Source organism: Homo sapiens, chromosome 15 (assembly GCF_000001405.40).
Source record: "Homo sapiens chromosome 15, GRCh38.p14 Primary Assembly".
Lineage (NCBI taxonomy): Eukaryota > Metazoa > Chordata > Mammalia > Primates > Hominidae > Homo > Homo sapiens.
Genome location: NC_000015.10, coordinates 90,404,623 through 90,430,116, shown reverse-complemented (window position 1 = coordinate 90,430,116; position 25,494 = coordinate 90,404,623). Strand labels below are relative to the sequence as shown.

At 40.4% G+C, this 25,494-nt stretch overlaps 1 protein-coding gene across 2 annotated transcripts in view, besides 4 other annotated features; it reads right to left on the bottom strand.

The window, feature by feature from the left end:
- IQGAP1 (IQ motif containing GTPase activating protein 1) overlaps positions 1–25,494 on the bottom strand; it is a 113,998-nt gene that overhangs the window by 72,123 nt on the left and 16,381 nt on the right. For both annotated transcript variants that reach the window (NM_003870.4, XM_047433204.1), the window contains exons 3-4: positions 3,851–4,007; positions 451–528 (exon numbers count right to left, since the gene is read on the bottom strand). In NM_003870.4, coding sequence (NP_003861.1) covers positions 451–528; positions 3,851–4,007 — 235 coding nt within the window. The remainder of the gene's footprint in view (positions 1–450; positions 529–3,850; positions 4,008–25,494) is intronic.
- Positions 10,299–10,348: an enhancer, noted in NCBI's record as "active region_10077". NCBI's record gives its function as "activates an Ori minimal core promoter by ATAC-STARR-seq in GM12878 lymphoblastoid cells {active_cell/tissue: GM12878}" and the evidence as "EXISTENCE:reporter gene assay evidence [ECO:0000049][PMID:35858748]".
- Positions 14,557–15,756: an enhancer, noted in NCBI's record as "MED14-independent group 3 enhancer chr15:90957593-90958792 (GRCh37/hg19 assembly coordinates)". NCBI's record gives its function as "activates an origin of replication core promoter dependent on BRD2, BRD4, P300/CBP and CDK7 cofactors, and independent of MED14, by STARR-seq in HCT116 cells {active_cell/tissue: HCT116}" and the evidence as "EXISTENCE:reporter gene assay evidence [ECO:0000049][PMID:35650434]".
- Positions 17,055–17,786: an enhancer, noted in NCBI's record as "NANOG-H3K27ac hESC enhancer chr15:90955563-90956294 (GRCh37/hg19 assembly coordinates)". NCBI's record gives its function as "activates a minimal SCP1, AML or CMV promoter by ChIP-STARR-seq in naive H9 embryonic stem cells {active_cell/tissue: H9 hESC(naive)}" and the evidence as "EXISTENCE:reporter gene assay evidence [ECO:0000049][PMID:30033119]".
- Positions 22,002–22,051: a silencer, noted in NCBI's record as "silent region_6820". NCBI's record gives its function as "represses an Ori minimal core promoter by ATAC-STARR-seq in GM12878 lymphoblastoid cells {active_cell/tissue: GM12878}" and the evidence as "EXISTENCE:reporter gene assay evidence [ECO:0000049][PMID:35858748]".

Sequence of the window (25,494 nt, the reverse complement as noted above, 5' to 3'; positions counted from 1 at the left end):
ACCACCTCTACAATTTAAAATAAAAAATGACCCTTCATACTCCCTACAGATTTCTAAAATATTTCCTTATATTTCCAAAGGTCAAATTTTAATGTTAACAACTTTGTGAATAAATAAAAACCACTGATTTGGTATTCTTTAAAATGGTGAATCTCACAGCATGTGAATTCTATCTAAGGAAAAATAGTAAAATGTAAGTCTACAATTTGATGTAGTAAAAGTAGATATCATCACAGGGAATTTCTCTAGGGTAAGATGAAACAGGTATGAGGATTATAAAAGAAAAAGAACAAAACTATTTCCTAAGTCAAAAAGAAAGACATCTTTTAGTATTTAAAAAAACACCAAAGATTCTGAGAATAATTTTACAGGTAGAATGAGAACAGGTTGTTTGAGGGTTATGCCACAACAGCTGGAACAAAGCCTAAACTATTATCTCAGGTAAGTTACCTTAGGCAATCCAATCTCATCCATGGCATTCAACCACTGAATCACATTATCAGTGTGTCTAAAGTGGAGGCCAGTCGCCTAGAAAAAAAAAAGAAAATTAGGTATTATTGGCTGTATTGAAGCAAATATTAAATAAAAACTCTCTTCGCAAAAGTTTCCTCAAGAGATTTGACAAATTTTCCTTAATTTTGATGTCATTATGCTCACATTCCAATACCAAAAAGCCAAATCCACATCTCAGCTCCTCTCACTTAGCAACTACCTGGAGAGCCTTCTTGTGTATAGTGTGCTCAACAGAACATGTGGTCTTTGGAGTTAAATTATCTTGGATTCAATTACTGGCTTAGTAATCTACTGGTGACACTGGAAAAGCCACTTCATCCTTTAGGGACAGAGTTTTACCATCTAGAACAGCTGCTTTGTATGTATAAAAACTAAGTGAGATAATGCACATGAACAAATTAGTATGGTGTCTGAATACATAGATGTTCACAAAATGCTGTATAAAAATACCACGCTGGGACGGTGGCTCATTCCTGTAATCCCAGCACATTGGCAGGCCGAGGTGGACAGATCACCTGAGGTCAGGAGTTTGAGATCAGCCTGGCCAACATGGTGAAATCCCATCTCTACTAAAAATACAAAAATTAGCCAGGTGTGGTGGTGCACACCTGTAATCCCAGCTACTCGGGAGGCTGAGGCAGGAGAATCGTTGAACCTGGGAGGCAGAGGTTGCAGTGAGAGCCAAGACGGCACCACTGCACTCCAGCCTAGGCGACAGAATGAGACTCTGTCTTAAAAAAAATCAATCAGGGCTTTCATTCTATATATACAGATATCCCCTCTAAACTTCAATGTCTGCTTTTTTTTGAAACAGGGCTCCACTTTGTTGTCCAGGCTGCAGTGCACTGGCACAATCGGCTCACTGGCACAATCGGCTCACTGCAGCCTCACCTCCTGGGCTCAAGCGATATTCTCACCTTTGCCTCCTGAGTAGCTGGGACTACGAGTGCATGTCACCATGCCCATCTAATTGTTTTTCTATTTTTTGTAGAGCGGAGGTTTCACCTTGTTGCCCAGGCTGATCTCAAACTCCTAGACTCAAGTGAGGGCTCCCACCTCAGCCTCCCAAAGTGCTGGGATTACAGGCATGAGCCACTCCTCCCAGCCATTTTTTTTTTATTGTTGCTGCAGAGTCTCCGCTCTCCTTTTACACTATCTTCCCATTCTGCCTACAGAATAGCTCCAGAGTTGTCTTCAGAATAACTGTGTATTCAAAACTGAGCAAAGGGCTGGGCACAGTGGCTCATGCCTGTAATCCTGGCACTTTGAGAGGCCAAGGTGGGAGGATAACTTAAGCCCAGGAGTTGGAGACCAACCTGGGCAACATAGTGAGACCCCCATCTCTACACTAAAATTTGTTTAAATTAGCCTGGTGTAGTAGCATGCTCCCATAGTCCCAACTACTAGGGAGGCTGAGGTGGGAGGATTGCTTGAGCCTAGGGAGGTCAGGGCTGCAGTGAGCCATGATGGCATTACTGCACTCTAGCCTGGGTGACACAGCAAGTCCCTGTCTCAAAACAAAAACCAACCAACCAACCAACAACAAAAAAAACCCACTGAACATATAAGTCTTTTTGTTTAAGGAAAGTTTCTGTTTATGATGTTAATTTTGGCTGAGTACCTATACCGTTCCTTGTTTTCCCTTGAATTTAAACATAAAACATAAAAATTATCTCTTTGACATTGTAGCCTTACTCATTCTGAGTTTGGGCCCAGTTATTACAGCTGACCACCCTTACATTTGGTCTTGGTAATGCAATTCTCCACTATCTTTCATAGTCATCATTTTTCAAATAAGGATTCACAGGTAACCTCTGTAGACAAGAAAATTTGGTCCTTGTCAACATCCCCATTTTTTTTTTGGGAGACAGAGTCTTGCTCTGTTGCCCAGGCTGGAGTGCAGTGGTGCTATCTCAGCTCACTGTAACCCCCGCCTCCTGGGTTCAAGTGATTCTCCTGCCTCAGCCTCCTGAGTGGCTGGGATTACAGGTGTGCGCCACCAAGCCTGGCTAATTTTTATATTTTTAGTAGAGATGGGGTTTCACCAAGTTGGCCGGGTTTGTCTTGAACTCCTGACCTCAAGTGATCCGCCCGCCTCAACCTCCCAAAGTGCTGGGATTACAGGCATGAACTACTGGGCCTGGCCCAACATTCCAACTTAATTAAGCAGTCAGTCTTCTTTTTTATAGCACCTTGAGATACAGGAATCAAACCCTCTCACTTATCTCAATTTTCTGAAACTGAATCACTTTCCCATTGTACCTTGAACTCCAGCAACGCAGGGTGATGTTTTTTCATGAAGTTACTTTTGCATTCAATTTGCCAACAAATCTCAGTGCTTAAAATTCATTTCTTTTTTTAAGAGACAGGTGGGAGTGCAGTGGCGCAATACTAACTCCCTACAGCCTCAACCTCCTAGGCTCAAGCAATCCTCTTGCCTCAGTCTCCCAAGTAGCCAGGACTACAGCATGTGTGACCATGTCTGGCTAATTTTTTTTTTTGTAAGACAGGGTCTCATTATATTGCCCAGGCTACTCTCAAACTCCTGGTCTTAAGTGATCCTACCACCTTGGCCTTCCAAGTACTGGGATTACAGGTGAGAATCAGTGTGCCCAGCCTAAAATTAGGCTTTCTTTTTTTTTTTTTTTTTGAGATGGAGTCTCACTCTGACACCCAGGGCTGGAGTGCAGTGTCATGATCTCGGCTCACTGCAACCTCTGCCTCCCGGGTTCAAGCGATTCTCCTGCCTCAGCCTCCTGAGTAGCTGGGATTACAGGCATGCACCACCACGCCCGGCTAATTTTTGTATTTTTGGTAGAGACGGGGTTTCACCATGTTGGTCAGGCTGGTCTCGAACTCCTGACCTTGTGATCCGCCCACCTCAGCCTCCCAAAGTACTGGGATTACCGGCGTGAGCCACCGCGCCCGGCCCCAAAACTAGATTTAAAGTGGTAATTCCCCTAGTTATTTCTTCTACCTTCTAAAGAATTAAAAAATTCATCTACAACTAGGAAAATTTCTAGATATATAACATCATAAGAATTCTACCAGAAACAAAGACAGCTAAAGTTCTTTTCCTAGTACATATTTTTTTGTGGGGGGACAGGGTAGGGGGGAGGCGGGCTTTCCAGATAAATTCTAAAAGAGATGTAATAATATTTGCCTAGTACATATTGCCTTTGCACAAATTTCTCCATTCTGCCAGGCATTTTAAAGGCTATAATTTGTTGCAACAAACACACCTTACACAGACTTCTCAATAACTCTTACACAAAATAAAACATGCTAACTTTCTCAAGTTGACAGAAATCTAAGCACAAAGCAAGGAAGGACTCACCTTGTATCTGGTCTGTTCTCGATCATAGATTTTTTTCAGGGACACTACTTTGGGAGAGAAGAAGTTCCCCAGTTTGGCAAGGTAGACCCCATTCCTAAGCCCCTCCTCCAGTTCTGTGGTGGGAGGCAGATCTTCCCCTAGGCATGCTTCCATCCACCTGCACCAAAGGAGAGAGGATGCAAAAAAAGAAAGGGAAGGTCAGAACTTTTCCTTAGAGATTTTAAGCTTTATTTCCATTCTCCTTGGAGAAGCTTAAACTGAACATAATAGCACTCTTTTACAATCAGTTCCACACACATCCTTTCCCTGCCTGGCCCAGTCAGATCTCAGAGGCGGGGAACTTAGGAAAATTCCTGAGCATAAATGCCACTTTCTTCTCCACCCCACTTTCCTCTGCTGCAGCAACACAGCCAGCTGGCTCCCCAGATCCTGACTGCTCCCAGAACCTCAGACCCTTTCCCTCAGTCCTTAAGTTGCTCTTTAACAAATCCTAAGAAAAGCCATTGGTAACTGAAGCCACCATTTCAACTGTTCAGAAGCTTTAATTTGTTGCTGACATTCTCTTCCAGTTGCAGAACTCAGAATCCACAGTGAATTTCTAGGTCCAAGTTTTAAGGTTGCTTGGGGGTTATCAAAACAGACTCAATTATTTCAGCTAAAATATTAAAAGAAACTCCTATGGAAGCAGTAAATAATGAATTCTCAGATTTTTGGAGGCAGGGAGGAGGTTGTAAAAAGGATAGGAAAAGAAAACTATTTTCCAAAAAGAAAAAGAATAAAACAAAGAAAAAAAGAAAACTGTATTTTCCCCTTCAAATATCTCTTAGTACATTTCAAGAAAGCCTAAGATAAAACAAAGGAAAGTTTAGTTACATGTATTTTCTACCAACGGAAACATAGGTAACTAAAGATCATTTATGGCAATGGTTTTTTTTTCCTTTTCTTCTTTTTTCTTTTGAGACAAAGTCTCACTCTATTGCCCAGCCTGGAGTGCAGTGGCATGATCTCAGCTCACTGCAACCTCCGCCTCCCGGGTTCAAGCAATTCTCCTGCCTCAGCTTCCTGAGTAGCTGGGACTCCAGGCATGCACCACCATGCCCAGCTAATTTTTGTATTTTTAGTAGAGACGGGGCTTCGTCATATTGACCAGGCTGGTCTCAAACTCCTGACCTCAAGTGATCCGCCCACCTCAGCCTCCCAAAGTGCTGGGATTACAGGTGTGAGCCACTGGACCCGGACCATGGCAACAGTTTTCAACCACTGAGCCACAGAATCCTGTGAATATCGAAGGAAAGCTATAGAACCTTCCCCTGGAAAAATATACATATACTTAAATTTTACATGTAATTTCAGAGACTTCATTGACTCTAGGAACCCTAGATTTAAAACTCCTAATTTAAAATTATTTCACTCAATTTTTTTTTTTTTAAGTTGGAGTCTCACTCTGTTGCCCAGGCTGGAGTGCAATGGTACAATCTCAGCTCACTACAACCTCTGCCTCCTGGGTTCAAGCAATTCTCCTGCCTCAGCCTCCCGAGTTGCTGGGATTACAGGCCTGTGCCACCACACCTGGCTAATTTTTTGGTATTTTTAGTAGAGATGGGGTTTCACCATATTGGTCAGGCTGGTCTTGAACTCCTGACCTCAGGTGATCCACCCACCTCGGCCTTCCAAAGTGCTGGGATTACAGGCGTAAGCCACCGTTCCCAGCTCAGTCTTGCTTTTAAATCTACTCTACCTTTAAATTAGGCAGCGTACTCTCTAACACATGAAGCCTGATGGGTATATGAATGGGCCAGATAATTTTCTGGTTGTTTCCTATACTCGATGATAAGCTTCTCTGCTGTCTTTTCTTTCTTTCAAATAGTAGAACTTAAATTGTCAGAAAGGGGAAAAATGAAACAAATGAGTTTTCCAGAAGAGTTGTCATAATAAATGAGATACCAATTTGAAATGGCTACAAAAATCTAAACTATACCTCTATTCAGCCTAAAGATGCAAAGGGCAATGTGGAAAAGATTGGCAGTTGTCGGTACGGAAAATAGTGTAGTTCAAGGACACATCTCATCTTTTTACTGCTAAAAAGGATGTTGATAAAATCATTCTGGCAAACAACTACTGGCAACTCCAGCTCTCAGGGGACAATCTAACTTGGGTTCTCATTAACAGTGAAAACCTAACAACCTCAGCCTAAGCCAAAAATGGCCCTCAAGCACGTAACAGTACCAAAAAAAAAAAAAGTTACTTATTTTTCTTTTTAAAATGAAGTAAACACACAGGGAAAACTACGGATAAAGAGCACAGTAGATACTTTTGCCTTGAATCAGAGCCAGTTACCAGAGGTATTTAGGTTTTCCTCTTTTCTGAGATTTCTAGACAAAAATAAAAGGAGAGCCCATGGTAACATCTCCCAGCATTCTTTATATTTCCTTTCCCTAGTCCAACTGCTATAAAACAGTCCTGACTTAGATGTTTCCTATAGCTGGGTAGAATGCTCTTTATATAACACAGGTGTCAGGTCAGAGAAGAAAGGCCAACTGTGATTTGGTGAAAGTTATTAAACAGAAAGAATGAGCTAGAATAAACAGGGAGGCAAAATACATTGTTTCTAAACAACTGCTCAAACCTGAAGCTGCCTTCCAAGTCACCTCACCACATATGTGGCTTGCCCACCAATCTGAGCTATTTCACAATGGAGTATCACCTGGTTTGTTTATAAAATAAATCAGGACTAGGTAGGATGCAGTGGCTCACACCTGTAATCCCAGCACTTTGGGAGGCCAAGGCAGGCCGAACACTTGAGGTCAGGAGTTCCAGACCAGCCTGGACAACATGGCGAAACCCCATCTCTACTAAAAATACAAAAATTTGCCAGTGTGGTGGTGTGCACCTATAGTCTCAGATACTTGGGAGGCTAAGACAGGAGGATCACTTTAACCTGGGAGGTAGAAGCTGCAGTGAGTTGAGATGGTGGCACTGCACTCTAACTGGGGTGACAAAGTGAAACCCTGTCACAAACGAACAAATCAGGACCAAACTGCTTTGAAAAGTAAAGTGCCATGTTAACATTTTTAATGTTAGCAGAAGTTTGGATTCTACTCGAATTCCAAGATGACACAACAAACACTTCTTTCAGTCTTTCTCTACAGCTCACATGAGATTTCCCCTTCTTCTACTAAATCACAGAATCAGAAAACCTGAGAGCCAGGAAGCAAATGCACTTCTAGGGAAAATCCCTTTGTTTGTTTTTAATATAATATATATCTAAAAATGGCCAGGCACAGTAGCTCACGCCTGTAATCCCAGCACTTTGGGAGGCCAAGGCAGGAGGATTGCTTGAGCCCAAGAGTTCAGGACCAGCCTGGCAACACAGCCAGACCCTGTCTCTACAAAAAATTTAAAAATTAGCCAGGCGTGGTGGCACATGCCTGTAGTCCTAGCTACTTGAGAGGCTGCAGCAGGAGGACCGTTTGAGCCCAGGAGGTCAAGGCTGCAGTGAGTTATGATCGTGCCACCATACTCCAACCTGGGCAACAGAGCAAAACTCTGTCTCAAAAATTATATATACAAACTCTGTCTCAAAAATTATATATATATATATATATACATATATATATATACATATACATATATATATATACATATATATATATATATGAATGAGACAATTATTAAACATTTCTGAAATGTTTATATTTTCCATGTTATTATATAGTTTCTGAAGACTTTAAGTTTACATAAAAATTTAACCAAGTCCTTAATAAGTCACCTATCTTAGACATTTATGTCATTTCTAAATGTTTTCAACCATTAAATAATAGTGCAAGGAATATCTTTGTGCACGGTGTTCTTCTTTATTTAGAATTAATTCCTTAGTAAAGGTCCTTAGAAGTACAACTCCAAAATTAAAAATATAAACATTGAAAAAGAATCTAACTGGCCACAAGCCTGCTCAGAGGCTAATAATCTATTTGCACTTCCTCCCATTTACAAATAAGAATGAGGCTGATCCAAGGTCATCCAATAGCTAGTGGCAAAGATGGAATAACAAGACTGATTGCTAGGTTTAGAATCCTCCTCACAGTATCACTCTTGCTCTCACTATATCACCTGAAAAGCCAAAAGGGGTTGAGCTCCACAGGCTGTCTAAAAAGGGAAAAATCGCAGAAATACCAAGAAGGAAAAAGGCTGGTATCTCTCCACATTCTGCCTACTTTTTAATAATTAAAGGTATTTTAGCTTAACTAAATCCACCAGTGATTCTCAACTTAGACACAAAACCTTTCTTATAAAACTTAAATATTTAGAACCGGTGCAGTGGTTCACGCCTGTAATCCCAGCACTTTGGGAGGCCAACGCGGGTGGATCACTTGAGGTCAGGAATTGGAGAAAAACCTGGCCAACAGGGTGAGACCCCGTCTCTACAAAAAATACAAAAATTAGCCAAGTGTGGTGGAGTATGCCTGCAATCCCAGCCACTACTTGGAAAACTGAGGCATGAGCTGAGATTGCATCACTGCACTCCAGCCTGGGCAACAGCAGAGCAAGTCTCTGTCTTAAAAGACAAACAAACAAACCTGGCTGAATTCATTCTCCTACTGAATACTGTGTTCCAAGTATGGTCTGACCAGCCTGAAATGGAACAGGACTATCACCTTCTTCATTATGACACTCCATAACCACAAAGCCTCAGCTTAAATTATTTTATTACACTTTTTCAATCAACAGAGACTCCTTTTTTCCCCAAATATAGAGCTGCTAAACCATATCTCTAGCTTTTTTTTTTTTTTTGAAACGGAGTCTCGCTCTGTTGCCCAGGCTGAAGTGCAGTGGCATGATGTCAGCTCACTGCAACCTCCGTCTCCCAAGTTCAAGCAATTCTCCTGCCTCAGCCTCCCAAGTGGCTGGGATTACAGGCTTGTGCCACCACAACCGGCTAATTTTTATATTTTTAGTAGAGATGGGGTTTCACCATGTTGGCCAGGTTGGTCCTGAACTCCTGACCTCAGGTGATCCACCAGCCTCGGCCTCCCAAAGTGCTGGGATTATAGGCATGAGCCACCACGCCCAGCCTCTAGCTTTTTTATAAATTTAGCTTTATGAAGACTTTATTAAAAAAAATTTTTCTTTGAGATGGAGTCTCGCTTTGTCGCCCAGGCTAGAGTGCAATGGCACGATCTCAGCTCATTGCAACCTCTGGCTTCCGGGTTCAAGCAATTCTCCCGTCTCCTCTGGGTAGCTGGGATCAGCACACCCGGCTAGTTTTTGTACATCTTAGTAGAGACGGGGTTTCGCCATGTTGGCCGGGCTGGCCTTGAACTCCTGACCTCAAGTGATCCGCCCACCTTGGCCTCCCAAAGTGCTGGGATTATAGGCGTGAGCCACTGTGCCCGGCCTATAAAGACATTTAAAAATAAAACTATGGCTGAGGTGGGAGGGTTGCCTGAGTCTGAGAGTTTGAGGATGCAGTGAGCAGTGATCATACCACTGCATTCCCAGCCTGGGCGACAGTGAAACTCTTGTCTCAAAATCAATCAATCTATGCACAAAAGAAAAATCACTGGCCAACACAACTTTTCACCAATTCTCATATTTAACCCTGTCCTAGCAATAATCATAGAATCTCAAGGATGGAAGGCTCATTAAAGATCTTTCAGCCCATCTCAATTCCTCCACTCCCCTCACATGTTCTACTCCATCCCCAATTTGATGTTCCCAAAACATCTCAGCCAAATCAGGAAGCAGGCTGAGCCTGAATACTGACAGAGAATCAAACATTCAAGGTAACCTAGTTCATTTCTGGACTCCAGTAGTCAGAAGGTTTTTGCTAAGCCGGCATCAATTCTCTACTGGCACCCTAAGCTGCCTCCTGGAGCAAGAGAACGTAAAAATAAAAGCATAATGTGAGTAGCACTGGCCATGGACTTGGAAAGATCTGGTTCCATGTCCTGTCTCTCGCACTTACCGAGAAAGACAGCAAGCCACTTGACCAGTTCTTTCATTTGTTAAAAAAGGCTAACAGGATCTTCCAAGGTTTGTCATTGAGGATTAAATAAGATTGCAAGTGAAATAGAGCTAGCACAGTGCTTGGCTGGGTATTGAAAAAAATATTTGTGCCTTTCCTCCTATCCCCTCATGATGAGTCACATGCTGACAATTCCATAAGTAAAATGATTCCAGCTCCTTCAAGCACTAGTCATAAAAACAGAATAATAATAGCACCTACCCACAGAATGTTTATGAGGATTAAAGAGATGATAGTACATATAAAATACTAAGAACAGTGCCTGGCACAGAGTAAGTACTCAAAACGTTACCAGGTATTATATTAGCAGTGTTAGACATCATCTCTGCCCCCTCACGTCTTTTGCTCATCTCTGAACTTTCTCCAACTGAACACTGTGTTCCAGGTATGGTCTGACCAGCCTGAAATGGAACAGGAGTATCATCTTTTTCATTCTGACACTGCATAACCACAAAGCCTCAGAATAAATTATTTTATTATGCTTTTTCAATCAACAGAGACTCGTTTTTCCCCGAATATAGAGCTGCTAAACTTTATAATTCCATATTTAAATCATTATTTGCACTAATCTCCACAACATACCTTCATGATAGACTCGACCAAAACCACAAGTAGAGTTCAGTAACAAAACTCTTATATTTTTTATGTTTTTCACAAGAGATGTAACAAGCAGACAACAGGGTTCTTAATCTCTCCTCTCACATGGGATATTAAATATAAATATTCAATATTTTCTCTTCAAGTTTAACCCCAGAACTGCTTTAGCAAATCTCACTCAAATGCAAAATTTTTAAAAAGGTGATGTCAGATCTGAAACACAAGTACTAAACAGGAAAGAAGTAACATAGAATGACTCATTTTCAATATAAATGACACTTAAAAAATAATCTTCACACCATGTGGCAGACATGAAGCCAAATACTTTACATGCATTATTATCTCAATCTTTGCAACAACCTCTGAAGTATTATTGTAATTATTTTACAGATAAACTGTGGGTTCCAAAAAGTATATTCCAAGATTATCTGGCAAGTAAACTCTCACTTGAACCCAAGTTGGTGTGATTCTGAAGCCCATACTCTGGCTTTTTTTTTTTTTTTTCTTTTTTGAGACAGAGTCTATGTAGTGGTGTGATCATGGCTCACTGCAGCCTTGACTTTCAGGGTTCAAGCGATCCTCTGGATCCTCCTACCTAGCCTCTCAAGAAGCTGGGGTCACAAGCATGTGCCACAACACCCGGCTAATTTTTGCCTTTTTTTGTAGAGAAAGGGTTTCACCATGTTACCCAGGGTGGTCCAAACTCCTGGGCTCAAGCCATCCACCTGCCTTACCCTCCCAAAGTGCTGGGATTACAGGCGTGAGCCACGAACCAGTATGAAGCTGATACTCTTAATTGCTACAGGATACTTCCTCCTTCAACAATAACAACAGTTACGACCTACTGAACATTCCCTTACAAATGCTCAAGTTCTGAAATTGGGCTTCCTGAAGTATCCCACACCACAATATATAACCTCATTAACAACCCTTACTTCTATCAAGCACTAAGGGAGAGGCCTAGTATTACACATTGGTGAAGCTGATACAATTAGTACAAAAATGAATGCTTATACAAAAGGCTATCTTTAATTACAGTCTTTTAATTTTTTTTTTGAGACAGTGTCTCGCTCTGCCACCCAGTCTGGAGTTCAGTGGCCCAATCACACGGCTCACTGTGGCCTCAACCTCCTGGGATCAGTGATGCTCCCACCTCAGCCTCCTGAGTAGCTGGGACCACAGGTGTGTACCACCACACGAGGCTAATTTTTAAAATTATTTGTAGAGACAGCAACTCCCTATGTTACTCAGGCTGGTCTCCAACTCCTGGGCTCAAGGGATCCTTCCACCTCAGCCTCCCAAAGTGCAAGGATTATAGGCTTGAGCCACTCTGCTCAGCCTACATAGTAATTCTTATACCTTTTCATATTTATTCTATTTTTTAAAGTTTTTTTCCTAAGTATTTTAAGTCAATTCCTCAAAAAAAAAAAGGTGTCTATTCTGACACCCACGTATTCATTCAGGAAACATTTCGAACTGACTACTGTGTGGAACACTTATCAGTGGTATAACGTTGTGCTGAATACCAGTCAGCACCTTCAAGGGAATTACTCTCTGGTAACAGTTATGCTTTAACAGCTAGCTACAATAGGAGATGATATCTGAACTAGGCTTTGCTCAAATAAATTCTATTTCCAATAGTGAAAAATGGGAAAAGGAGACATGTAACATAAAGGAACAGCATAAAAATACTTAGGAATCCAACTTACAAGGGATGTGAAGGACCTCTTCAAGGAGAACTACAAACCACTGCTCAATGAAATAAAAGAGGATACAAACAAATGGAAGAACATTCCATGCTCATGGATAGGAAGAATCAATATCGTGAAAATGGCCATACTGAGCAAGGTAATTTATAGATTTAATGCCATCCCCATCAAGCTACCAATGACTTTCTTCACAGAATTGGAAAAAACTACTTTAAAGTTCATATGGAACCCAAAAAGAGCCCGCATTGCCAAGACAATCCTAAGCCAAAAGAACAAAGCTGGAAGCATCATGCTACCTGACTTCAAACTATACTACAAGGCTACAATAACCAAAACAGCATGGTATGGTACTGGTACCAAAACAGAGATATAGACCAATGGAACAGAACAGAGCCCTCAGAAATAATACCACATATCCACAACCATCTGATCTTTGACAAACCTGACCAAAACAAGAAATGGGGAAACGATTCCCTATTTAATAAATGGTGCTGGGAAAACTGGCTAGCCATATGTAGAAAGCTGAAACTGGATCCCTTCCTTACACGTTATACAAAAATTAATTCGAGATGGATTAAAGACTTAAATGTTAGACCTAAAACCATAAAAACCCTAGAAGAAAACCTAGGCAATACCATTCAGGACATAGACATGGGCAAGGACTTCATGTCTGAAACACCAAAAGCAATGGCAACAAAAGCCAAAATTGACAAATGGGATCTAATTAAACGAAAGAGCTTCTGCACAGCAAAAGAAACTACCATCAGAGTGAACAGGCAACCTACAGAATGGGAGAAAATTTTTGCAATATACTTATCTGACAAAGGGCTAATATCCAGAATCTACAAAGAACTCAAACAAATTTAAAAGAAACAAACAACCCCATCACAAAGTAGGGGAAGGATATGAACAGACACTTTGCAAAAGAAGACATTTATGCAGCCAACAGACACATGAAAAAATGGTCATCACTGGCCATCAGAGAAATGCAAATCAAAACCACAACGAGATACCATCTCACACCAGTTAGAATAGTGATCATTAAAAAGTTAAGAAACAGGCTGGGCACAGCGGCTCACGTCTGTAATCCCAGCACTTTGGGAGGCCAAGGCAGGTGGATCATGAGGTCAGGAGATCGAGACCATCCTGGCTAACACGGAGAACTCCCATCTCTACTAAAAATACAAAAAATTAGCTGGGCGTGGTGGCGGGCACCTGTAATCCCAGCTACTCGGGAGGCTGAGGCAGGAGAATGGCGTGAACACGGGAGGTGAAGCCTGCAGTGAGCCAAGATTGTGCCACTGCACTCCAGCCTGGGCAACAGAGCAAGACTCCGTCTCAAAAAAAAAAAAAAAAAGTCAGGAAACAACAGGTGCTGGAGAGGATGTGGAGAAATAGGAACACTTTTACACTGCTGGAGGGACTGTAAACTGCTTCAACCATTGGGGAAGACAGTGTGGCAGTTCCTCAAGGATCTAGAACTAGAAATACCATTTGACCCAGCCATCCCATTACTGGGTATGTACCCAAAGGATTATAAATCATGCTGCTATAAAGACACATGCGCACGTATGTTTACTGCAGCACCATTCACAATAGCAAAGACTTGGAACCAACCCAAATGTCCATCAATGATAGAATGGATTAAGAAAATGTGGCACATATACACCATGGAATACTATGAAGCCATAAAAAAGGATGAGTTCATGTCCTTTGTAGGGACATGGGAACATCACACACTGGGGCCTGTTGTGGGGTAGGGGGAGGCGGGAGGGATAGCATTAGGAGACATACCTAATGTAAATGACGAGTTAATGGGTGCAGCACATCAACATGGCACCTGTATACATTATGTAACAAACCTGCACGTTGTGCACATGTACCCTGGAACTTAAAGTATAATAAATAAAAAAATTAAAAAACAAAAAAGGAACAGCATAATACAAAGGACAAAAAAAAAGGCTGAAAACAAATGGCACATTCAGGGAACGGTAAGTCACTGTGGTAGAGAAGTAGGTGTAAAAGTATCTGGATTAGTAATCTAACCTGCAGGAATGGGAGCCATGGGAGGTTTTCAAGTAGACTTAGAAGGAGAACTTGGACAGCAGCATGGACGACAGATTCAAGGGAGAAATATCAGGCAAACATTTCGGTAATCCAGGTGAGTGGTAATACAGTCTTTAACTGGGACAATGGTGGAAAGAGAATGATTAACAATTACAAAGGTAGAATTGACCCCATTTGACAATCTGTTAGATGAGGCACGGGGATTAGAAGGGCAGTGGGAAAGATGTGAAATCTCACAGATGACTGAAAAGGCAGGGGGCATGGAGGGTGGGGAAGCAGTTAGCTCCAGACCTCACGGTTCACAACTAACATTAAACACCAAATGGATTAGAGAATTTTTTAAAAAAGAAAAAATAGTTATATACTCTTAAAATGAGAAAGAAGTTTACAAACACTACTACAGAAGCAGAAATCAGAAAGGAAAAGATAAATTGGCTAGTATTTAAACTTCTGTAAGGCCATTTTTAAAAAACTAAATAAAACTTTAACAGGAAAGGTTACTGGAGGAAAAAAAATCACAACATATAACAAAGAGCTAACAATATTCCATAATCTTTACATGTATATACATTTTAAACACTTGAAATAAAATGGCAAACATTTCCCTAGAAAAATATGCTAGAAACACAAATTTAAAAATTCATAAAATATACATATAGCCAGTAATTTATAAGAAAATTTCTCAATCTTACTACTAACCAAAGAAATACAAAGTAAAGTAACAATATCACCATCTTCAGCTATCAGACTAGCAAAGATTTTTTAAAATAACATTGTTGTCCAGTGTGTCGAGAAGCCCCACATTCTGACACACAATTCTAGGAGAAAATCCGGCACCATATACCATCTACAGCAAACTTACAAACACTTCTATAAAACGAAAAGAGAAGGTTTTTTTCTTATTTTTTAAAAGATGATTTGGTGACTTGCGGCATGGATGACTACATAAAAGATGATGCCATTAAACAAGAATGGGGACACCCACAAAAGCCGGAGAGGATGAGCAATTCACGGTTGAAACATGTTCAGCTTGAAATGTCAACGGGACGTCCAGACAGTGGCATCTTGTAGGCAGTTGGAAACACAGGTCTCAGGAGGGAGACCTGTTGCTGAAGACCTAAATCTGGAAAATGGCACCACAAGAGTAGATAAGCCCACAGAGAAAGAGGCTGTGGAGAAAAATGTAAAAGCTGAAGCACTGTGCCTCAGAGAACACCAACACTTAAGAGGTGAAAGAGACAAAGATAGCGTCTGTGATCAAGTTAAGAACCAGGAGAGAATCACACAATGGCAATCACGGAAGGAAAAAATCAGCAAACTGGTAGAGGTCACCAGCTTTCAATGCTGCAGAGAGGCGGGTGGTGAAGAGAAAAGAATGTGGCACACAAGCAAGGTCATCTTTGGCTCCTGTAAGGGGAGTCTTAGTGGAGTGGTGACACAGGAGTCCATTTAAAATAACTAGAAAAGTAACTAAAAGTAGGAAGGAGAGGCAGCAAATGTAGGCTTCTTTTTCTAATTTTTATTTTATTATTATTACTTTTTTTATAATGGAGACAAGGTTTCACTATGTTGTCCAGGCTGGTATGGAACTCCTGAACTCAAGAGATTCTTGACTTCCAACCCCCAACTCCCTCCCCGCCCCCTTCTCCATCTCCCAAAGTACTGGGATTACAGGCATGAGTCACTGCACCCAGCCAACTTCTTTTTCTAGAAGTGTAAGAAAGGAAGAGGAAAAACTAGGGGGAACGGAGAAGGAGTTAGTCTGAGATGGTGACATGTCCTGGGAAAGTGTCTTTTTATTTTTTTTAAATGATTGTGGAAAAAGCATATTTTTATAGTCTGCAAGAAAAGAACACGTGAAGGAGGGGCTAAAGATACAGGAATAAGAACAAAAGAAAGCAAGGTTCTGAAGAGCAGAGGCGGCAGCCAGCTACAGAAAGGAATATACCCCACTTCCTCCCTGAGATAAGAGGGAAGGACATAAGAAAAACCAAGAATGACATGTTACCCGCTAACTTCTCTGAGCTTCCATTTCCCATATATAAAGCAGGATTAGCAACACACCAAACTTCATAAGGTTGTTGTAAGGATTAAATGAGATGATACATACCAAATACTAGTGATCACCTGGAGTCCACTAAGGAGACCATTCAGAGGCAAAACTTCTTATCTGAGGAATTTAGAAGTAATTAACTTCCCTGTTATCTAAAATCGGCACCTGGTTCCAGCTCTCTTTTCAACCTAAAATTTGTAAGCAACTAGACTTTCTATACATCTCTGGAATGCCATGCCGAAACTCCCTGTGCAACCCTTGCTGACATTACGTCTAAAAATGTAATCATTTATCATGACCTATTGGCTAATATGGTCCAAACTACCCTTAAGCTCCTGCTTTAAGTTCCATAAATACCCTAAGGAAAAATCCACCGCGAGCTCAGTTCTCTCTTGCTGAGGCATTCTTCTGCAGAGTTCCTTCTTTCTAATAAAACTTTCCTTTTTCAAACCTATACTGCTGTCAGTAAATTCTTCCTACCAACCTGTGAGTTGACTACTTTCCAATGCCGGGGCTCTGACACCTCACCCAGCAACTAGTAGTAGGCTCTAAATAATGATAGCTATGTATATGTGTATGTACACATGAGTGTGGGGGTGAAATGGTTAGATCCACAGAAATAAACCTGCTAATGGAGTCTGACACTCCATGATTTACATAATACCTGTCTATCTTGTCTTACTGATAACACTTTTCAAAGGGAGTACATACTTGGCCCTACCCACTCTACACTCAGCAAGACAAATAAATAACTATACTGAGAACTCTACTGTGGTAAACCTTAAAACAAGCCCAGACTAAGAGCATATGCAGAAAAGAATAAGGGTGGAAATCTGAATTAGGGGTCTGTGGAGAGGAAACCAGTTGAACAAGTTCTGCAGAGCACATGACTTCAGTGGTTTCCCAGCTCTGTGCAATACAGAAGGGGAACATACCAATGCCGGAACTGACCACTTCAAGCCACTGAGATTCAGTTCCTCCAGGAACAGCTCCTCTGGTACCACACCCATCTTGCACAGCAAACATCCCTGAATGCCAGGGTTACTCTATGCTAAAAACCTCCCAAATTTGGCTGTCTTTCTCCACAATTAGGATTCTACTAAACCACTAACACTTCTGAGCACCACCTAGGCATTGGAAACAGCCTAGAAATTTCCATATGGTAATGGTAAATCTAAGTCTTGAGAGAAAGGAATGCAGAGTATTCCATAAAGCATTCTTCACCATACGCAGAAAGAGGGGAATCAGGATGACTTCCCAGAGAAAATGGTACTGATTTTATAGGTCTTGAAAGACTTGTGGTATGTGCTGATAAGGGAGAATACGTCAGGCCAAGGGCAGAGAATGTGCAGACCCTTGGAAGGATTTACACAGGAATTAAAGAATAAGATTTAATTCAAAAGACCATTCTGAGCAGTTGTAGGAGAAAGGGCTAGAGAGAAGTGAGGAGACACTAAAGAAAGTATTGCAGTAATCCAGCCAAGGAACAAAAAAGGCTTGTTTTTCAAACCATACAAGCAAAATGAGAAATCTTGATAGTATCTGTTTTAAAGGAAACCTGAGTATAAATTAGGCCAATCTGAAAAGCTATAGGAATAAGTGAAAAACAGGGAAATGTTTTTGCTTCAAGTTATATATTTAACTTCTGTGTGTATTTATATCTAATACAGACCCCTGAGCAAATCACTTCATTCTTAGCATAATCAGATAGAATAGGTCAAGTCTACTTGTCAAAATTACATGTCTAATTGTTTTATTTTAATAGAGTCCCTGGTCTTATTGGAGAAATGGAAACTAGATCATAGTGATGGGTTGCACAACTCAGCAAATTTACTAAATATTATTGAATTGTACATTAAAAAAACAGGTGGATTTTGTGGGATGTGTATTAAACTCCAATAAAGTTTTTCGTTTGTTTAAGTCTCGGCTAATAGATTACTTACTCCTTGATCAAGTCTTCAGATCCAGAGTCTGGTGAAACATTACCATGGTCAGCTGTCTATCTATCCATCCATCCCTAGTTTACCACTTACCATGGAGCATGAAAGACCTTTTAATCTTAAATGAAATGAAATGAAATTCCAAAACTGAGTTAAATCTAGATGATAGCTAAGTCTCAGAAGCTACAGCTTAATCATTACTAACCTGTGAGCAGCTCTACAGCCTAATCATTACTAACCTGTGAGCAGCTCTTGAGAAGAAAACAACAGGTAAGAGTCCTCTACAAAGTAGAAGACAGGCACCTATTTCTCTGTAAAAGCAATCCTCTGCTAGAGCCATATATGTCAAAAATTTAATTTTCACACCTATTATTTAGTAAGAAAATAAGGGAGTGGGGGTTAACTATGATATACATTAAGAACACAGTACTGCCAGGTGAGGTGGCTCACGCCTATAATCCCAGCACTTTGGGAGGCTGAGACAAGGAGGATCATCTGAGCCTGGGGGTGTTGTGGCTGCAGTGAGCCCAGATCACACCACTGCATTCCAGCCTGGGTAACAGAGTGAGACCCTGTCTCCAAAAAAAAAGAAAAGAAAAGAAAAGAAAGAAAGAAAGAACGTAGTACTTGCCTTCTAAGGCTAACAGTGCATTAGGAAAGAGAAAAGTTATAATAAAGATACATGAGAGAGGAACATCTAACTTAGACCTGGGGTAAGGATGGATGGCCAAGTGAGTTTCCCAGAGGAATGCTAACTGATTTTCTTAGATAGGCAATATATTTTTTACACAGGTCAATACTTCAATACACAGTTCGAAATTCAAAAAGCATAAAAAAGATACCCAATTAAAAGGAAGAAAACTCCATGAATTGAACAGGAAAGAGTGACATATGCTGCAGAGATTAAGTACTAGAAAAATTTCCATGGGACATAGCAATTAGGCCATTGGTGATATGAGCAAGAGAAATTTCTTTTTCTTTTTCTTTTTTTTGAGGGGATCTTGGGAATGTTTTTTCTTTTTTTTTTTTTTTATTATACTTTAAGTTCTAGGGTACATGTGCACAACATGCAGGTTTGTTACATATGTATACACGTGCCATGTTGGTGTGCTGCACCCATTAACTCATCATTTAGCATTAGGTATATCTCCTAATGCTGTCCCTCCCCCCTCTCCCCTCCCCCTACCCCACAACAGGCCCCAGTGTGTGATGTTCCCCACCCTGTGTCCATGTGTTTTCATTGTTCAATTCCCACCTATGAGTGAGAACATGCGGTGTTTGGTTTTCTGTCCTTGTGATAGTTTGCTGAGAATGATAGTTTCCAGCTTCATCCATGTCCCTACAAAGGACATGAACTCATCCTTTTTTATGGCTTCATAGTATTCCATGGTGTATATGTGCCACATTTTCTTAATCCAGTCTATCACTGATGGACATTTGGGTTGGTTCCAAGTGTTTGCTATCATGAATAGTGCCGCAGTAAACATACGTGCGCATGTGTCTTTATAGCAGCATGATTTATAATCCTTTGGGTACATACCCAGTAATGGGATGGCTGGGTCAAATGGTATTTCTAGTTCTAGATCCTTGAGGAATTGCCACACTGTCTTCCACAATGGTTGAACTAGGAAATACCATTCAGGACATAGGCATGGGCAAGGACTTCATGTCTAAAACACCAAAAGCAACGGCAACAAAAGCCAAAATTGAGAAATGGGATCTAATTAAACTAGAGCTTCTGCACAGCAAAAGAAACTACCATCACAGTGAACAGGCAACCTACAGAATGGGAGAAAATTTTTGCAATCTGCTCATCTGACAAAGGGCTAATATCCAGAACCTACAAAGAACTCAAATAAATTTACAAGAAAAAAACAAACAACCCTATCAAAAAGTGGGCAAAGGATATGAACAGACACTTCTCAAAAGAAGACATTTATGCAGCCAACAGACACATGAAAAAATGCTCATCATCACTGGTCATCAGAGAAATGCAAATCAAAACCACAATGAGATGCCATCTCACACCAGTTAGAATGTCGCTCATTAAAAAGTCAGGAAACAACAGGTGCTGGAGAGGATGTGGAGAAATAGGAACACTTTTACACTGTTGGTGGAACTAAGCAAGAGAAATTTCAATGGGGAAAAGGAAGGCACAGGAATTACATCCAAATGAGTTAAGTTAAGGAAGTGAATATAGGGGCAGGGCACAGTGGCTCACACTTGCAATCCCAGCATTTTGGGAAGCCAAGGTGAGTAGAACACTTGAGTTCGTAAGTTCGAGGCCAGGCTGGGCAACCCAGTGAAACCCGTTTCTACAAAAAAATGTAAAAATTAAGGCCTGGCGCAGTGGCTCACGTCTGTAATCCCAGCACTTTGGGAGGCCAAGGCGGGTGGATCATTTGAGGTCAGGAGTTCGAGACCAGCCTGGCCAACATGGTAAGACCCCATCTCTACTAAAAATACAAAAATTAGCTGGCTGTTGTGGCGGGCACCCATAATCTCAGCTACTCAGGAGGCTGAGGCAGGAGAATCGCTTGAAGCCGGGAGGTGGAGGTTGCAATGAACCGAGATCGTGCCACTGCACTCCAGCCTGAGTGATAGAGCCAGACCTTATCTAAAAAAAAAAAAAAAAAAAAAGTGAATATAGGAAATTTTCCTTGAAAGAACAAAGAGGGGAAAACAATCAGGGTATCTAGGAGTAAGGAAGTGTATCTTGAATGGGTGAGGATGTTCATGTGCTAAAGAGAAAGAAGCAGCAGGAAAAAAAGTGCAAGTTATAGTTGGGAAAATAATATTGGAATAAGAACCCTAGAAGACAAGAAGGGATAGGATCTAGATCACACATAGAAGGTTAAGTGTTAGGAGAAAAATACGTTTTTCCCACTGCTACAGGGAAAGAGGTCAAGATGGCATGTTAAGCCAGCATGGTGGCATGCATCTGCAGTCCCAGCTACTCACAAGGCTGAGGTCTGGGGATGGCTGGAGCCCAAGAGTTCCCGGCTGCCATGAGCTATGATTGCACCCCTGCACTCCAACCTGGGCAAGAGAGCAAGACCCTTTCTCTAAAAATTAATTAATTAATTTTTTAAGTGATAGCATGTTAAATGAGATGGGGTAAATTTGTTAGGGCCAAAATGTGAAGAAGTTTTGAGAGAAAATAGATGTCATCAAGCCACGATGCAGGAAGGTAGAGACAGGGATGCCCACAAAGAATACAAGGTTTAGTATAACTTTTAGGTGATCAGCCCCACCCATCCCTGCCAATTCAAATGTTACCTTCAAAAGTCACCTCTCCTCCACGAACCTTTTCATGACCTACCATCAGAAATAATCTCTTCTCGTTCCAAACTTCCTCTAAACTTTCTTATGGCACTTTATATCTCTTTATCGCCTAATAGTTATTTATGTACATAAGGGTAGAATCCTTTTCTAATTTATCTTTGAATAAATTAGAAAGACTCTACTGAAAGACACACACTGCTCTTTCTCTCTTGCTTAGGGACCGTATTACTCCTGGTCTCAATTATAACCAAATAATAAAAGAAAAACAAAAACCAAAACAGAAAATTACCCCAAGCTCTTATCACCATAACACTGAAATTCTTTTTCCTACCACAACCCCCACATACCACACAACTCTGTACTCATTCAACTTAACAATATCCCCAAGCACCTACTTTGTAAAAAGCACTGTGGTGAGAGGTGCCATTGGGTACCAGGAAGTGGAAAGAGCTTCAACTCTAAAGGAGCACAGAGAACAAGACAAGTATACATAGTGTTATGCTTTCCCTTGAAAGGGAAACGCCTGACCATACAATGTCAGCTTATCCTGAAAAACCCAGCCATAAAATAATCTTTCCCTGTCTAAACTCTCACACATTAACTATTTGCATCATTTCCTCAGCAATTACATATTGCCTTGTGACACTGAGACCTCTCATTCTCTGATGTTGGGTAACTTTTCAAATGTTTATGCCCTGTCTTCAATTAATCCGTAAGCTCCTAAGGGCAGGACTGTTTTATACTTTCGCATCTTCTTCAGTTCTCCCAGAGTGTCCTGAACAATGGAGGAGCTAAAAACGTGTTTTACTTGCTTTAAAGTAATTATTTTATTGGAGGAATTTTCCCAACTTCTTAGCCATGTTAGAAAAAATGAGCAATGGAATAGTATCAAGTCATTCAAAATAAAAATAGTTTTTAATAACACAGGAAATGAAATAAAAATTGTTTTTAAATAACGAGAAAATACTTAGGTTAGAACATAACAATCTTCCATTAAACTGTTACACAGTCTAAACCTGAAAATCTGCAACACGGGTTTTCCCAAAGCAGCTCAGACACCGTTTGGAAATTTCTTATTGTTATATAAGAAACTATCCTCCTATTAAGCAGATTTCCATTGTCTAGTTCTGTTCCCCTGGCACCACATCTGACAAAATGAACTCCCCTCCCATCTCTCAGGAATTTTTTAGTAAAGTAGGTAAAATGTTAATATAACAGTTGACTGAATTCCTAAACTAGATGAAAGGTTGAGCTTCTGAGATTCTGATTTTATATTTCTTCTAAATCTTGTTTCCATTTTATATAGCCTCAGTATTCCCAATTATTCTTCATAGATCATAATTGGTAGACCCTTTATCATCCTGGTCATACTCATCGAACACGCTCTCATCCCAGAGCAACAACTAAGTCTCAACTAATGGACAACCAACACCCACTGATTGGGAGTGGTTCCTCAGCTTCTACGTTGAAAAGGATTCTGATCTATCAGCAGTGCTTGCTGTGGGTGTAAAATAACCTACCACAAATCTAACATCCTTGCTCTAGACTACGAGATCCATCTTAAAGTATGGCCTCCAGAACTAAACACCAATTTCAGGAAGCCTCTGATTAGTCCAGAGGACAGTGGAACCATCTTTTCCTTGGCTGCATATACCATATATCTACTAATGAGTTAATGAACTTCTCAGGTTTCTTTCATTTTGTTTTCGTTTCCCACCAACGTTATTCCCACTAACGCTACTTCTCTCCCTTATCCTATACACTTTTTGAACTCCAATGTAGGACATCACACTTATTACTATTGAATTTCATTATTAGATTCACGGTACATTGAAAGCAAAATGTGCCTTACAATATATTAACTATCTCTCTAGAAACAAGTAAAATCCTAACTTCACTGACACATCACTGACGCCCTAGTAAGTCCCAATAAAAATGTTTACAAATAACATGCCCTAAAAGTGCTTTCTCTGAACTAAAAATCTGCAGCTCTTTTTGCTGAGATACGATTCGTAACGTAAACTCATTTAAAATATACAATTCAGTTGCTTTTAGAATATTCACAATGTTGTACAACCGTCATCACTATCTAATTCCAGAACACTTTCATCAACCAAAAACAAACCCCGGCCGGGCACGGTGGCTCACGCCTCTAATCCCAGCACTGGGAGGCTGAGGCGGGTGGATCACCAGGTCAGGAGATCAAGACTATCCTGGTTAACACGGTGAAACCCCGTCTCTACTAAAAATACAAAAAATTGCCAGGCGTGTGTTTTTCTCTGATTCACCAATCTGGTGACCCTGTCCAAAAGGAAATGATGTTAATGTGACAGGGCTTTTTTTAGGGAGCCCATGTTGGCTCCCAAGCATCACTTTTCTCGCTAAGTGTTCATAAGTTATGCATCTGACAATGTGCTCTGGAATTTTTCTGGTCCAATGTTTGGCCAGAAACTAGTTTACTAGACCAGAATTTGTCATATTTATCTTTTCCTTTTTAATAATTAGTACATTTGCACCCCTCATTTTTAAAAACCACACTCCCGTCCTTTGCAATGCCTTAAAGATCACTGAGCAATTATACCTATCCAATTAGTACAATTATGGCTTTAATTTAAGCTCTATAAGCCAAGAACAGGATAACTCAACGGAGAATGTAAACTAACTATCATAAAACACAAAATAGCTGAGAAGTGACCATGAACATCTCCCAAATTCTTATTTGAAATAGTCTCTGAAGAAAGTCTTAGAGTCCAAAAATAAAAAATAAAGTAAAAGAAAGAAAAAATAGTCCCTCAAATCCGTAACTGATAGAAAAAAAAGTGTTCGCAAACCAGAAAAAAAAAAAAAACCTGGAACACTATTGATAAAGTAGGTTTGAGGAATATTGCATACACTATCCTTTGCCTTGGAGACTCAGAATTTACAAGTCTATGACAAAGATTCCAAATAATTTGCCACTTGAATAATATTTGGCTTGGTTTAACTCAGTATTTCTGAAGCTTATTTCACCACTAAACCCTTTCTTTAATGTCACAGCACAATATACCTCAAAAAATACTGATCTAGAAAGTCAGCCACACAGTTTTTCAAACTCCAAATTTGCACTCTCCTTTACACAAAGAATAAATTATGTTAGTTTGGCAAGTCTAGTAATCTCTTCACAGTCTTTATGTCAAAGCTGTTAATTCAAAACCTGTTTTCTCAACGCCAACTTTACTACACGATATTAATCTGTTTAGCATTACAATATAACTTGCTTGAAAGCACTCTGGAAAATCCTAACCAAATTCCCTAAAATGATAGTTAAGCCATATGTTTCAAAAAGCTCAACAGTTGAAGCTGCCTTGTTCTGAAAAAAATTAAGATATCAGTTCATAAACTAGAGCACAAGACACCCTCCAGAGCACATTTCCTAAGACACTGCTAAGACTCAAAATGTAAAATACGATTCAAAAGTCAAAAAAGCAGGATCTATCTTACTCCTCACACCAAAATAAATTCCAAATGGATCAAAGAGTTAAATATTAAAACACTTTACATCCTAAACATACTAGAGGAAAACATGGGAGAATGTTTTTATATAATCTCAGTATAGATAAGACTCTTTAAAAATCATGCAAAAAATTCAAAAACTAAAAGTAAAATATTAGTAAGTTCAAATATGTTTTAAAACTTTATTTGAAATACAAAGTCAAAATTTAAAGGACAATGGCCAGGTGAGGTGGCTCTTGGCTGTAATCCCAGCACTTTGGGAGGTCGAGGCAGGTGGATCACCCGAGATCAGGAGTTCAAGACCAGCCTGGCCAACATGGCAAAACCCTGTCTCTACTAAAAAAATACAAAAATTAGCTGAGTGTGGTGATACGCGCCTGTAATCCCAGTTCCTCGGGAGGATGAGGCACAAGAATCGCTTGAACCTGGCCAAGATCGGGCCACTGCACGCCAGGCTGGGCAACAGAATGAGACTT